Source organism: Homo sapiens, chromosome 15 (genome assembly GCF_000001405.40).
Source record: "Homo sapiens chromosome 15, GRCh38.p14 Primary Assembly".
NCBI classification, from domain to species: Eukaryota; Metazoa; Chordata; class Mammalia; order Primates; family Hominidae; genus Homo; species Homo sapiens.
The window spans coordinates 93109605-93124783 of NC_000015.10; the positions used below are offsets into that span (position 1 = coordinate 93109605).

General features: G+C 44.8%; 1 long non-coding RNA gene across 2 annotated transcripts in view; it reads left to right on the forward strand.

Moving 5' to 3' along the window:
* The window catches only part of LOC101927025 (uncharacterized), an 83190-nt gene that overhangs the window by 20391 nt on the left and 47620 nt on the right, over window positions 1–15179 (forward strand). Inside the window, exon 4 of one of the 2 annotated variants that reach the window (XR_243235.4) lies at window positions 3690–3781. The exons of the other annotated variant lie outside the window; for it this stretch is intronic. This is a non-coding gene — a long non-coding RNA (uncharacterized LOC101927025). The remainder of the gene's footprint in view (window positions 1–3689; window positions 3782–15179) is intronic. 2 annotated transcript variants of the gene reach the window in all.

The window sequence follows — 15179 nt, forward strand, 5'->3', positions numbered from 1 at the left end:
GCCCCACGTGTCGCACATCGCGGTGGCCGCGCTTGTTTTCATGATGCTGGGGATGCGGGTGTTGTGCTCCTGGAGAGGGGAAGGGCTTGGGAAATGTAACTTACGAATCTTCTTAACGGTTGCCAACAAAACTCCGCAGCTGAGCTGCAAGCACTGGACAAGGGGCGCCCGGCAGCTCCCCCGCAGAGCGCACGGCGGACCCGGGGTTGGGGGTCGGGGGCCCAGCAGTGCCTTCACCCCGGAGGGCTCCAGTCACAGCCCAGAGGGGTCGACCCTCTGGCCTGTGAGTTGCTGCGAGGCTGTGGGCTGGGGAGAGGGATTCTCGAGTTCAAAGGCAAGGCTTGCAGCCACCTGTCGCTGGAGGAGGAACTGGTGGGGACGCCCGGGGAGGGGGTCGGGCTGGGCAGGAAGGGCAGGGACTCTTCCCGAAGGACAGCGGACGGGAGGTGGTTTCTGTAAAATAATACCGAGGGATCCGAGAGCCGACACTTCAGAGCCCCCAGACCCCCTGTCCCTGGGAAGACCAACTAGCAGGAAGTCACGGCCACTTCTAAAGGAGTCGACATTTTGCACGCTTTCACACTGGTTTTAGCACTTTTATGATCTGATTGAAAAGTAGTCGTAAAAAAAAGAAAACCTAAAATTAAAAATTTAGAAAATAGATTCGTGAAGTCATAACAATTTACATACATACAACTGAAAAAGCGCGCTTAGGTGTGCAAGGTGTTTCATGTGCTATGGAAAATGGTGTGCGTGTGGGAGCTGGAGGGTGGGGGGGATGGTCTCTAGACTCCCCGGTCCGTGGCCTACATGTGAGAACCAATAGACTAGAAGTTTAAACAATCAGACTTCTCCCTCTACCTTATGTGAGGGAAACTTCTGAGCTTCCAAATCCATACATTCAGCCCAGATGCAATCGCTGTGTTGAACGCTTGTGTCCAGATGCCTGTGGGCTACATGGATGTCTCACAGGTAAAAATCAACATTTCTAGACTTCTTTCTCTGAGTTAGAGCTGGGAAGTTACTTTGGATGCCTCCCTCTTCCTCAGCAATGCTTCTTCCTGTCTCCTTAGTCACCACATTTGGCAACTTCCTAAAGCATCTCTGGAACCCCACACCCCCACTCTCTGGCCCTTCCCTGTCATAGCCTGGCTCAGGCCTTCCGTGGCCATTGTCAGGGGCTCAAACCACCTTCACTTGACCCTTCTGACGCTCCCATGTGCCATACCATTCCCATGCATAACACCTCTCCCCTAAGAAGATACGCAGCACCAGCAGTCATAAGGGAAATGCAAATCAAAATCACAAGATACCACTACTTACCTAAAGGAATGGCTAAAATAAGAAATAGCAGCAACACCAAATTCTGGCAAGGATGTGGAGAAAACACATTACTCATACATTGCTGTTGGGAATGAGAAAAGGTACAGTCACTTTGGTGGGTGGTTCTTTTTTTTATTTTTGAGATGGAGTCTTACTCTGTCATCCAGGCTGGAGTGCAGTGGCACTATCTCGGCTCACTGCAACCTCTGCCTCCCAGGTTCAAGCGATTCTCGTACCTGAGCCTCCCGAGTAGCTGAGACTACAGGCACTTGCTACCACGCCCATCTAATGTTTGTATTTTTAGTAGAGACAGGGTTTCATCATGTTGGCCAGGCTGATCTCAAACTCCTGACCTCAAGTGATCCTCCTGCCTCGGCTTCCTAAAGTGCTGGGATTACAAGCGTGAGCCACTGTGCCCACCCCCAGGTACAGTCACTTTGCAAAACAGTTTGACAGTTTCTGTAAAAACTAAACAAGTAACTACCACACAACAATTGCATTCCTGAGCATTTACCCCCTGAGAAAGAAAAACTATGTTCACAGAAAAACCTGTACACAGATGTCTACAGCAGCTTTATTCATAATAGCCAAAATCTGTCCTTCACTGGCTCAGAGGTCCTTCGACAGGTGAATAGTTAAACAAACTGTGCTACATCTATACCCTGGAATGCTACTCAGCAACAGGGAGTGGAGTATTGGTACTTGCAACAGATTAGATGACTCTCCAAGAAAAAATGTCGAGTATGGCAAGCCAAACCCAAAAGGTGTATATAATCGTACGATTCCATTTATATAGCATTCTTGAAATGACAACATTTTGCAAATGGAGACCAGATTAGTAGTTGCCAGGGATTTGGCTTGAGGGTCAGGGTGCAGGGAAGTTTGTGTGATTATAACAGGAGAGAGCCGTGTGGGTTGGAATTGTTGAACAATAGTTGACTGTGATGATGGATACACGAACCTACAGAGGTGATAAAATTGTATAGAGTTGATACACGAACAGCAATGAGTACAAGTAAAACTGGGAATCTGAATAAGATGGGAATGGATTGTATCAGTATTAATACCCTGATTGTGAGATTGGACTATAGTTTTGCAAAAATGTTACCATTTGGGGAAACTGAGTAAAGTATACAAGATGTTTCTCTATTATTTCTAACAACTGTATGTGGATTTACGCTTATTTCAATTTTTGAAGTTTGTGAAAGATTTTTATAATTAGTTTTCTTTTTTTTTTATTGTGGTAAATATCCATAACATGAAATTTACCATCTTAATCTTTTTTTTTTTTTTGATAGAGTTTAACTCTTGTTGCCCAGGCTGGAGTGCGATGGCGCAATCTCGGCTCACTGCAACCTCCACCTCCTGGGTTCAAGTGATTCTCCTGCCTCAGCCTCCTGAGTAGCTGGGATTACAGGCACGTGCCACCACACCCGGCTAATTTTTTGTATTTTTAGTAGAGACGGGGTTTCACCATGTTGGCCAGATCGGTCTTAAACTCCTGACCTCAGGTGATCCTCCCACCTCGGCCTCCCAGAGTGCTGGGATTACAGGCGTGAGCTACCGCGCCCGGCCCATCTTAATCATTTTTAAGTATACATTTCCGTGAGGTTGAGTACGTTCACATCATTGTGCAACCATCACTACCGTGTATCTCCAGAACATTTTCGCCTTCTCCAACTGAAACTCTGCACGCATTAAACTCAAATTTCCCATTCTCCCCTGCTTCCATAATTTTGTTTTAAACTGCAAGAAAACTCCTAAACTCAAACTCCTCCTGGGCACCTCATCACCTACAGGGAAACTCTCTCAGTGCCCTTGGGTGCCCTGGCCCTGGCATTACCCACCTGCTGGTGTCCTGTGAACCCTGCCTTGCCTTGCCAAGCCTCTGGGGTCTGTGTTGTCTCCTAACACAGGCATCCAGCTTCTCTCAACCTGGAAAATTCCGTTTCAGGGCCCTTTCCAAGGCCTGGGAAGGGATTTCAGCACAGTGTTCACATGATCCTAAGTTTTGTAAATTTGCAAAAATAAGATATTTTCATTGCAATCAAGAGTCACCTGAAGCGTTTTATTTCCTTGTCCTCTTGTTGCCTCCACTAGCTGAGTAGTCCCAGCTACTCAGGAGGCTGAGGCAGGGGAATCGCTTGAACTCAGGAGGCACAGGTTGCAGTTAGCTGAGATCACGCCACTGCACTCCAGCATGGCGACAGAGCAAGGCTCTGTCTCAAAAAAAAAAAACAAGGGGAGGAAAACAAAGATGTAAAATGTTAAAGACTGACCACTGTAAATAATAAGACTACTGTGAACTTATAATCACAAATTCTACAGTTGGGATGCTGTTACTATTACATTCTGCTTGCTTACAGAAAAATATTTGAAGAATCACATAGTCAAAAGCAAAAATCCAGAAATGGTCAAGAGAACTACGATTATTGAGCCTCACTGAGTGTTCACACTGGTGAGTAATAAAATTACAAATTATTTTACCTCTGGTAAGTCACAGAATTTTAGAACTAAGAAGCATCTCAACTTGGAGTCTACTGTTTTACATAAAAGAAACCCAAGACCAGAGAAATCAATTAATTCACTGAAGGTCATACCCTATTAAGTCATATGCCCTAGCCACACTTTCCAACCAGGCCACAAATTCAGATGGACTCAAATCTTATTGAGTACCTATCATATGCGAGGCATTCTGCTAAACACCTTGCTAGGTGTCTGGGAACACATGCCAGGCATTTTCTAGGCACTTAAAGTTGCCTAATTCTCACAACAGGACTCTGAGATGTGTATCATTATTGATATGATTTGAATCTGTGTCCCCACTCAAATCACATGTCAAATTATAATCTCCAGTGCTGGAGGTGGGGCCTGGTGGGAGGTGATTGGATCATGGAGGGTGGTTTCTCATGAATGGTTTAGCACCATCCTCTCGGTACTGTCCTCACCATCGTCAGTTCTTGTGAGATCTGGTTGTTTAAAAGTATGTAGCACCAACTGGGCGTGGTGGCTCACACCTGTAATCCCAGCACTTTGGGAGGCCAAGGTGGGCAGATCACCTGAGGTCAGGAGTTCAAGACCGGTCTGGCCAACATGGTGAAACCCCGTCTCTACTAAAAATACAACAATTAGCCAGGCGCGCCACTGCACTCCAGCATGGGCAACACAGTAAGACTCCATCTCGAAAAAAAAAAAAAAAAAAAAAGGTGTGTAGCACCTCCCGCTTCTCGCTCCCGCCTGCTCTGGCCATGCGATGTATGTGCTCCCGCTTCACCTTCTGCCATGATTGTAGTGTCCTGAGGCTTCCTTAGAAGCTGAGGAAATGCCACCATGCTTCCTGTACAGCCTGCAGAACTGTGAGCCAATTAAACCTCTTTCCTTTATAAATTACGCAGTCTCAGGTATTTATAGCAGTAAGAGAAGGGACGAATACAGTTATTATCCCTGTTTAGAGAAGAAAACATTGAGTCACAGAGCGCAGAAGTAATTCTCCCAAGGTCACAAAGTTATAAGGTCAGGTTGCTGGAATTCAAGCCCAGGCAGCTGGGCTCCTAAGTATGTGTTCTTATGTGTTCTATGAGACTGTTTCTGGGGAAAGATAAAAGCACAAACAAAGGTCTTTGGGGCTTGGCTTTTGGCTTTTTAAAGGCTTAGGATGGGTGGTATTAGATGGGAGTCTTAGAGCGTGCCTGGGAACTATGCAGCTGAGAGGTGTGACTGGGGAGATTCCGAGTCTAGGACATGGTGGGTACCCGATAAAGGTTCAGTTCATTTGAGTTTGTGGCCTGGTTGCAAAGTGTAGCTAGAGTATGACCCTTAATAGGGTATGACCTTCAGACTGGGGCATGGGGAGATCCAGATTTTGTGGAGCTGGAAGCTAATAAAATTTGGCAGCCCTCCTTTAAAATACAAAATTATCATTGTAAAATTAGGTGCAAAAATGAATATTTACTTAGAATGAGGATGGACTCAATAAAATGCAAATTTTTAAAAGTTCAACTACCACAATCATTGCACTATCTAAAAATTTATATGATCTTTTTATTAACTGCCTGATTGACCTCCACAATGCTTTTATCCTTCCACGGTTTTTCCGTACGCTCTTTGATTGCCTCTTTTTATGACAAGGTAATATTTTCTACACCGAAAATAGATCGTTCAGTCCTTCCTCTGGCATGGCTGATAGAAATTTGAGTTTTATTCTTAACAGTTTAGAAATAATTTGTTTCACTTCCAATTAATTTCTGATTTGATCATGCACATATTTAGGACCATTGTCAAAATTGAGAAAACCTCTCAAGATTTATATATGAGCCGTGAAGTTTTAGGGTACTTCGGGTTTTCTGAATGACTAATCTTAATAGTCATTGAATTCTTTAAATCAGTGAAGCTCAATAGCAGTTCATTGTTGATTTCTTCATTATAGTGTGTACTATAAGTTTAAATTATCTTGTCGATGCCAGTATTTTGGGAGCAAATTCAACTTAATCTGAGTTTAAGACAAATCTTTTCCCAATGCGTTCAAAAGATTCATTCAGTTAATTGGATTATGTAAAAATCCAAGGGCTTAGTCATTGCTTCTGTTAGAAATGGAACACCTTTCTCTTAGTGAATTTCATCTTTGAACATATCTAAAATATTTTTTTACAATTTTTAATGTCAGAATGATTTCGACTGATTTCATTATTTTGAGCATATTTTGTTCATAGTCCATTAAGTTTACCTGACTTTACTCTCAGTTCTTTTATAAACAAATCTAAAGATAATTAAATAAGTTCGTTTTCACCAAATTAGGAGTCTGTAATTTCTCACTTCTTTTATTGAAATGTTCCCAAACATATTTCCGAATTCCAAAGCTTTATCAACTTTTCGAATAGTCCTTTTCCTCTCATTTATGTTCAGATTCCTCTTCCAAGACTTTGAAAATATCTTTTATTTGGTTTCTTTTACATAAAACAGTAGACTCCAAGTTGAGATGCTTCTTAGTTCTTTTTTTTGAGACGGAGTCTCGCTCTGTCGCCCAGGCTGGAGTGCAGTGGCGCGATCGCGGCTGACTGCAACCTCTGCCTCCCGGGTTCAAGCGATTCCCCTGCCTCAGCCTCCTGAGTAGCTGGGACTACAGGTGCACAGCACCATGCCTGGCTAATTTTTTTCTTCTATTTTAGTAGAGATGGGGTTTCACCATGTTGGCCAGGATGGTCTTGATCTCCTGACCTCACGATCTGCCCGCCTCAGCCTCCCAAAGTGCTGGGATTATAGGCGTGAGCCACCGCACCCAACCCCTCCCCTTATGTTTTTATAAATCTCTAGATTTTGGAGTTATGCACTCCAAATTGCTTAATTTTTTGTGTCTACTTGGCTAGGCTATGGTGCCCAGTTTGGTCAAACACTAGTCTGTCTAGATGTTGCTGTGAAAGTACTTGAAAAGGTGATTAACATTTATGCCAAGATGACTTTAAGTAGAGAGATTACCTTCCATAAGGTGGGTGAGCCTCTTCCAATCAATTGAAGACCCTAAGAGTGAAGACTGAGGTTTCCTGAAGAAGAAACATAAGTCATATTCGCTGGTTCCAAGATGTGGATGGTAGCTTTCCAGGAGGGAGGAGACAGCCCACCTCTGAGAGATGCTGCATCTCTCAGCAGAGTCACCCCGCAGCGCCACGGTGGGCTTAGCAGAGTGAGAACAGTAGAAACCATGAGCAAAACAGCAAGGTCTTGAGGGTCAGAGAGAATTTGAGTCCTGGTTCACGAGCTGTATCTGAGACTGTTTTCTTATTGTAGACAGGAAAATCAGACTTGCCTTGTTCAGATGGTTGAGCTGACATTTACAAAATGGAAGCTGTTTCTATGCTCATGATCAGGGGTGGGATTTGGGAGAGGGAGACTTTACACTATAAGGTGTTGCTTCAGCCCAACCCCTCTTTGCACGGATGAAACTTACTTTCATATGATTACAAAGAAACAGCAAAGATAACTAGCTGCTGGGATTAGCACAACTTCTTCAGCAGTCTAGGTACTTGTTTCCCACACCTGGTCTGGCATTAGAATTAGCTGGGGATCTCGTTAGAAATGCAGGTTCCGTTAGTCTCCAGAGCTACTGAACAGAATCTCCCAAGGTAGGATTTGGGAATATGTATTTTTTTTTAAATCTATGTAGCTCAAACAGACATTTATGCACTTATGTTCAAAACAGCATTATTGACAAAAGCCAAAATGTGGAAGCACTCCAAGTGTCCATCAACAGGTGCACGGATAAACACAATGTGGCGTATTCAGACAATAGAATATGACTCAGCCTTGAAAAAGGAGATTGGGACATAGGCTACAGCATAGATGAAGCTTGAGGACATTTTGCTAAGTGAAGTAAGCCAGAACACAAAAGGATTCTACTTATATGAGGCACCTAGAATAGTAGAATTCAGAGACAGAAAGTAGAATGGTGGTTGCCAGCGGCTGGGGAGAGTGGGGAATGGGGAGTTGGTGTTTAATGCATACAGAGTTTCAGTTTTAGATGATGGGAAACTTCTGGAGATGGACAGTGGTGATGGCTGCATAACAATCTGAATATATTTAATGTTACTGAGCTATACACGGAAAGATGGTCAAAATGGTAAATTTTGTGTTACACACATTTTACGACAACAACAACAAAAAAGGCTGCACAGGGCAGGTGTGGTGGCTCATGCCTGTAATCCTAGCACTTTGGGAGGCCGAGGCAGGTGGATCACTTGAGGTCAGGAGTTCAAGACCAGCTTGGCCAACATGGTGAAACCCCGTCTCTACTAAAAATACAAAAATTAGCTGGGCATAGTGGCACACACCTGTAATCCCAGCTACTCAGGAGGTTGAGGCAGGAGAATCGCTTGAACCTGGGAGGTGGAGTTTGCAGTGAGCCAAGATTACACCACTGCACTCTAGCCTGGACAGAGCAAGACTCTGTCTAAAAAAAAAAAAAAAATTCTGCACATGCTATTCTAATGAATCTGAGAATTTAGGATTGAAGCTCGTCTCTTCCTATTCTTTTGTCCCTAGCTTATACTGCACCCTTCCTTCCTGATGCTCACCATCCCAAGCATGCATTTAGACAGGGATGTAGCTGGCACTGCGGAGGACCCAGTGTTCCCTGGAGGAACATACGGTCGCAGCACTGGGAGGTAGAACAGTTCAGCTAGAAGAGCTGGTGAGCCCCCTCTCCTTCCTCTCAGTCCTCTCCACCAGCCAGGGTGATGACAGCCATGCTTAGGGAGGTGAGAGCCGGGCCCACTCAGGCGTCTGAGACCAAACTTCCCCATCAATAATGTGGCCCAGGCTTCTCACCAGCTCTGAGCTGCCACCCCCAACATCATACAGCCAGGACAACCAGCCTCAGTGCAGCTCATTCTCACCTCCTAGCAGGGGTAGGGGACACAAGGGTGGGCAGCTCTTCTCCTGGGAGATGAAGCCTGGCCACCGTGGGAGTTGGAAGGTCAAGAAGACAAAGGAGGCAGACTACCAGGGACCCGCTGCCCTCCCAGCCACTGTCTCCTGCTAGCTGGGGTTAGAGCCACATTTTCTTTCTCTCTTTTTTTTTTTTTTTTTTTTTTGAGACGGAGTCTCGCTCTGTGGCCCAGGCTGGAGTGCAGTGGCACAATCTCGGCTCACTGCAAGCTCCACCTCACGGGTTCACGCCGTTCTCCTGCCTCAGCCTCCCAAGTAGCGGGACTACAGGTGCCCGCCACCACACCCGGCTAATTGTTTTGTATTTTTAGTAGAGACAGGGTTTCACCGTGTTAGCCAGCATGGCCTCGATCTCCTGACCTCGTGATCCGCCCGCCTCGGCCTCCCAAAGTGCTGGGATTACAGGCGTGAGCCACCGCGCCCAGCCTAGAGCCACATTTTCTTGGGAGTTTCTCCTCCCAACCAGAAGTGTCGCCCTTGAATTAAGATAGTGGTTAAATACTGCTAAATAATTAATTGCTCTCTTGAATTGGTGTAATCTGCCTGCTTATGCTTTTCTGGTTGCTTTTGATAGTCCTTTGGATAAATTCAAAAGTGGTATTCATAATTGAAGAGCATATAGGTAGTCACACAACCACACTCACACTCATAATGAGAGGTGGCCCCTCCTTCACTCTTCAAGTCAAAATCGATACCAGGCAGTTAGAGTCTCCAACATCAAACTGTCTCTTTCCTGCTCTTCCTGGAACAGACACAAGGTGTCAAGTCTATGTATAGAGGTTTGGCGCGAACCAAGTGCAAGAGCTTTTCATTTTGTTCAATGATTATGACAGGTGCTGGGTCCCAACAGACTTTAAATAGAGCAATCATATGTTCTGTGACAAAGAACACTAAGGGAGAGAAAGTAGGAAATAGAAAGTGGAATGTGACTTTTTATTCAGCCGGGACTTCAGAAGAGGGGAACAGAGAAAGCCAATCAGTTGGTTCCAAGAGACAAAGCTGTGGGAGCAGAAAGCTCTGGACAAGTGGAACTCTTGTCAGGGAAGTCAGTGTCCCTGGTAAAATGAGAGGCAAAGCAGATGGGCCAGCAGTAGGGGAGCCTTTGTGAGTGGGTTGGGGGGCAGATGAAGGACATCCTGAAAGAAGATAGGTGAGTAATCATGGCCAGAATGCCTCCATTTACAAAATAGCTGTGAAGGACAGATGAGAAAATGAAAGATGGGATTTCTCTGAGAGGGGAGCAGAGATGGGAGCAGGCTGGGGTGGGGGGATTCATTTTTACTGAATATGCTTCTTTTTGTTTTGTTTTGTTTTATTTTATTTTTGAGATGGAGTCTTGCTCTGTCACCCAGGCTGGAGTGTAGTGGCGTGATCTTGGCTCACTGCAACCTTCGCCTCCCGGGTTCAAGTGATTCTCCTGCCTCAGCTTCCTGAGTAGCTGGGATTACAGGCACACGCTACCATGCCCGGCTAATTTTTGTATTTTTAGTAGAGACAGGGTTTCACCATGTTGGCCAGGCTGGTCTTGAACGCCTGACCTCAGGTGATCCGCCCGCCTCAGCCTCTGAAAATGCTGGGATTACAGGCGTGAGCCACCGCGCCTGGCCTGAATATGCTTCTGAATCTTAGAAGTTTGTGCTATTTGCTGTACAGGTTGAGTATCCCTTACTGGAAATGTTTGGGACCATAAATGTTTCAGATTTGGTAATATTTGCATTGTACACACAGGTTGAACATTCCTAATCTGAAAATCCAAAATCTCAAATGTTCCAAGGAGCATTTCCTTTGAATATCATGTTGACATTCAAAAAGTTTTGAATTTTGGAGCATTTTCAATTTCAGATTTTCGGATTAGGATGCTGAACCTGTATTAGTTATCTAGAAAAAAACAGAAAACAGATAAATTCATGAGTACACAAATTGGGGGTGATTAAACGGGCAAAAAAATCAGAAATCATAGATTGAGAGAGGATTTTTTTTCCTGGATTGTAAATAAAACATAGTTAAATTAGACTGTACATATAAAATTACAATATTTATAGGTTAAAAATAGCAGATTATTGGCAAGTTCACATGGTTTAATCCAGGGTTTCTCAACCTTGGCACAGTTGACGTTTTGATCATTCTTGGTTGGGTTGTGATATGTTCAACAGCATCCTTGACTTCTACCAGGTGGTGCCAGGAGCATCTCCCCAGTTGTGACAATTGTCAATGTTTTCTGTGTATCTAGCAGAACTGGCAGTACAATTTGTGGGGCCCAATGCCAAATAAAAATGTGGGGCCTCTTGTACAAATATGTATTAAGAGTTTTGGCTGGGCATGGTGGCTCACGCCTGTAGTCCCAGCACCTTGGGATGAATCGCTTGAGGTCAGGAGTTCGAGACCAACTTTGCCAACATGGTGAAACCTTGTTTCTACTAAAAATACAAAATTAGCCAGGCATGGTGGCACATACATGTAATCCCAGCTACTTGGAAGGCTGAGGCAGGAGAATCACTTGAACCCAGGAGGTGGAGGTTGCACTGAGCTGGAGGTTGCAGTGAGCTGAGATTGCACCACTGCACTCCAGCCTGGGCGACAGAGCAAGACTCCATCTCAACCACAACAAAAGAATTTTAAGACAGCAACAGCAGAGCATTAAATCAAGTGTGGGGCCGGGGTCCTTCTAAGCTTGGTACCCCATTTGACTGCTCAACCCCCACACCCACAAAGATGACCCCGATCTCCAGATAGTGCCAAATGTCCCCCGGGGGCTAGATTGTCCCCCATTGAGAGCCACTGGTTTAATTTAATACATTTAGGTTTACATGTACATATGCTCAGAGTCATTAAAAAAGAAAATTGCATGAATGCTTTACAAAATGCATAATATCAAGTGCCAGAAGGTTTGGGTGGCAGCCAAATCTGGCCCACCATCTGTTTTTGTGAATAAAGCTTTATTGGAACACAGCCATGCTCATTTGTTTACATATTGGTTGAGGCTGCTTTCGTGTTGCAACAGCAGAGTTGAGAAGTTGCAACTGAGACCGTATGGCCCGCAAGGCCTAAATATTTACTATTTGGCCCTTTATGGAAAAAGTTTGCCAATCCTGTTCTAGAGGACTGAGTTTTCAACCTGTGGCGGTGCTGGTGGTGGAACAGGTGGAATTAGCTAGAAGTCCCTGGAGCGTGGACTTCTCCAGCCCTTATTATCCTTACAAGCTAGAGCAGCTAGGGCACTTGTTGGGAGGTAATAGGAAATGGCTCCAGATTATTTAAGCAAAAGAATATTTATAGGAAGGATGTAGGGGTGTTTACAGAATCAATGGTTGGCTTAATTAATGCATTAAGTAGTGTGTGGAGTGCACACAGGGGAACACATTGCTCTCTTTTGTGTTCAGCTTGCTAGCTCAGTTGGTATCTAGAGGAGAAAACTATCAGGATGGAAGATATTTGAGTGTTACAAGAGTTGTAGGCTGGCAAAAGGTAGCGTCCAGGTTAGTTTTTATTTTATCTAGACAGATTCATTTCATTCGTAATATTCTTTTGAATTTCGGTTACTTTCTGTTTTTCATTTTTTAAAAAATACTACATTTCTTGGGGGAAGGGTTTGGTGGAAGCAGTTGAAAGGAAGGCAGTTTGATGGAAACTCAAGTGGTTTTTGATGAGTAATAATAATTATTATTATAGGTTTCCTACCTAAGCCGTCTCAGTGGGTAGTGTTTGCAAATTAAACACACTATAAAATATTCAGCCGTTTGCCACAATCTCGACTGATTTGCATAATCCCCTTGCACGCGCTCTGGGGTGAGCAATTCCCTAATTAATTATTAAATTCCCATCTGTACTCCGTGAGTGGGATAATGAAATTCCAGCAAGCCTTGAGAAAAGCCGAGCAACGCCCTCTGGAGAAGGCTCCTTGGCTTTCCCAGGCTTGGGTCCTTCTTCCAGCCAGGGGTCCCTTCCGAAATATCTCCCCGAAGGACTAATTGTAGATTTGGCTGGTGACTGAAACAGCTCCGACCTTCCTGTAACCCGGGATTCCACGGTTCTGGTCTCAGCCCCATACCACACACAGCCAGGCCACCAAGGAATCACCAGTGGCATGTCCAATATGGCTTTATAAGGACATTTCCAAACCCATCGTAGGTTTGGTTTAAGGACAGCCTCTGAGGTTCATTGCTATTCCCCTATTACCTCATTTTTGGGTGCATTTTTTTTTCCATATGGCCAAAGACCAGTTTTATTCTCTAGTCATTTGAAAGGAATTTGAAAGCCACTTTTCTTTCCTTTTTCCAATTTTTTTGATAAACCCACGACACCCTCCCTGCGGCTCTGGGAACTACAGGCCCAGAACAGTTGTAGGCAGGGCGGGTGGGTGTGGTGGGTGAAGAGGCAGAGTCGCCGTGGTGATATTGGTGTTGCTGGTGGCTGGGTAAGCGGGTAGCTGAGCATTCAAGTGCAACACAGGGCCCTGAAAAGCTGGTTTAGTCCAGGGTTTCTGGACTGAAACCTGAAAACTGAAAACTGACACTGAAGCCTGAAAAGCTGGCTTGTTCACCTGAGAAATGACATTTCTGAGACAGTTCACTGTGGGCCACTCAGGTGGCTCTTGTCTGGGGGGCGTTGTCTCTCGGTAGACTCTTTGTATTAAAAAAAATAGCTTTTGGCTGGTGTGGTGGCTCATGCCTGTAATCCCAATACTTTTGGAGGCCAAGGTGGGAGGATTGCTTGAGGCCAGGAGTTCAAGACTACCCTGGCCAACCCAGCAAGATCCCTGTCTTTGTTTTTTTATTTTAAAAACAAAACAAAACAGCTTTTACTAGTCCATGCTGTCTTTAGATACACCAAAGAGAAATGTTTGTAAAATTGCTGCTATTTGAGATTTCTTGGGGTCACGTGCTCCTCCAACTTTCCTATACAAACAAATCACCTAGCAATGTTGTTAACGTTGCATGTTCTGATTCTGTGGGTCTGGAGTGGGGCCTGAGATTCCGCATTTCTGGGAGACTCTCAGATGTTGCTATTGCTGCAGACCACACTGAGTATCAAGAAGCTGGGCGATAAGGGCATACTTGTAAACAGGGAAGAAATCAGATTTACATGCAAATGTGAAGATTCAACCTGATAAGTTCATGTGTACTTTTTAAGCTTTTTAGTGAAAGGCATGATTGGCTGGGATTAGAGCAAAGCCAGCATTAAAATTATGTTCTTATTAGGATCATTTTTCCTTTTTTTTTTTTTTGAGACAGGGTCTTGCTGTGTTGTCCAGGCTGGAGTGCGGTGGGGTGATCATGACTCACCGCAGCCTCAAACTCCTGGGCTCAAGTGATCCTCCAGTCTCAGCAGCCTAGTTGCTGGGATGACAAGCGTGGGCCACTATGCCTGGCTAATTTTTTTTTGTAGAGACGAGGTCTTGCTCTGTTGCCCAGGCTGGTCTTGAACTTCTGGCCTCAAGTGATCCTCCTGTCTTGGCCTCCCAAAATGCTGAGATTACAGGCACGAGCCACCGTGCCTAGCTGGATCTTTTTTTTTTTTTCATTTCAACTAGGCCTGTGTTAAAATTTAGAAGTGGATCTAGAATTGCCCCTGGGGTCTGAGTGTATTGTTGACCTGATGTAATTGTGAGGTGTTTTTGTTGTTGTTGTTGTTGTTTTTCTTTCTTTCTTTTACCAGCTGGATGTGACTTATAGGAAGTTTTCTAATCTCTTTGAAATTATTTATCCATCTGTAAAATGAGGATCATAACAGCTGGTATCACTGGGTGTGAACTCTGGAATTACACTGACTTGGGTTCAAATCCCAGCTTTGCTACTACTGTGTTTTTTTCCTTTTCTGAGCCTCAGTCTCATCTGTTAGTACAGAACCAAGCTAGGACCTGTCCTCTAGGATTGTTTCAAGGATTTGATGAGGAACAGTGCCTGGCACATGGCAGATGCTCAGTCAGGCTAGGAGCAGCAGCGCTCTAGCAGTCTGTGGAAAGCCTGCCTGTCGGCCGGTTTAAGACAGACATGCCCAAAGAGGGACAGGGAGGAGGGAGTGGGCTGAAGGTTTGGGAGGCAATCTGTTCTTCCATTTCCTATTGGTGAAGTGTTCATTCTTGTGCAATTACTGTGTGAGGTTCAGGGGATACCTAAAGAAGAATCTCAAAGGCATCCTGTAAGAAAGTGGTCGAAAGTCTGGTAGGAGCAAAGCAAATGCCAAATCAGACACAAACCAAAAAATCGTCATCCCCCCCGGAGGCTGACTGATCAGAATGGCCCCCTGGGTGACGAAAATCATGCAGTGATTCCACTGCAGGTTGTGAGGATAAAAGTGCAGAAGAGCAAGACGCTACATTGGAGCGGCCAGCCGCGCTGCTGAGGACCGCTCTTTCTGTCTGAATCCTCTGAAGCCCCAGGCCTCCCAGTGAGGCAGCAGCCAGGAAGCTGAGTGAGGTT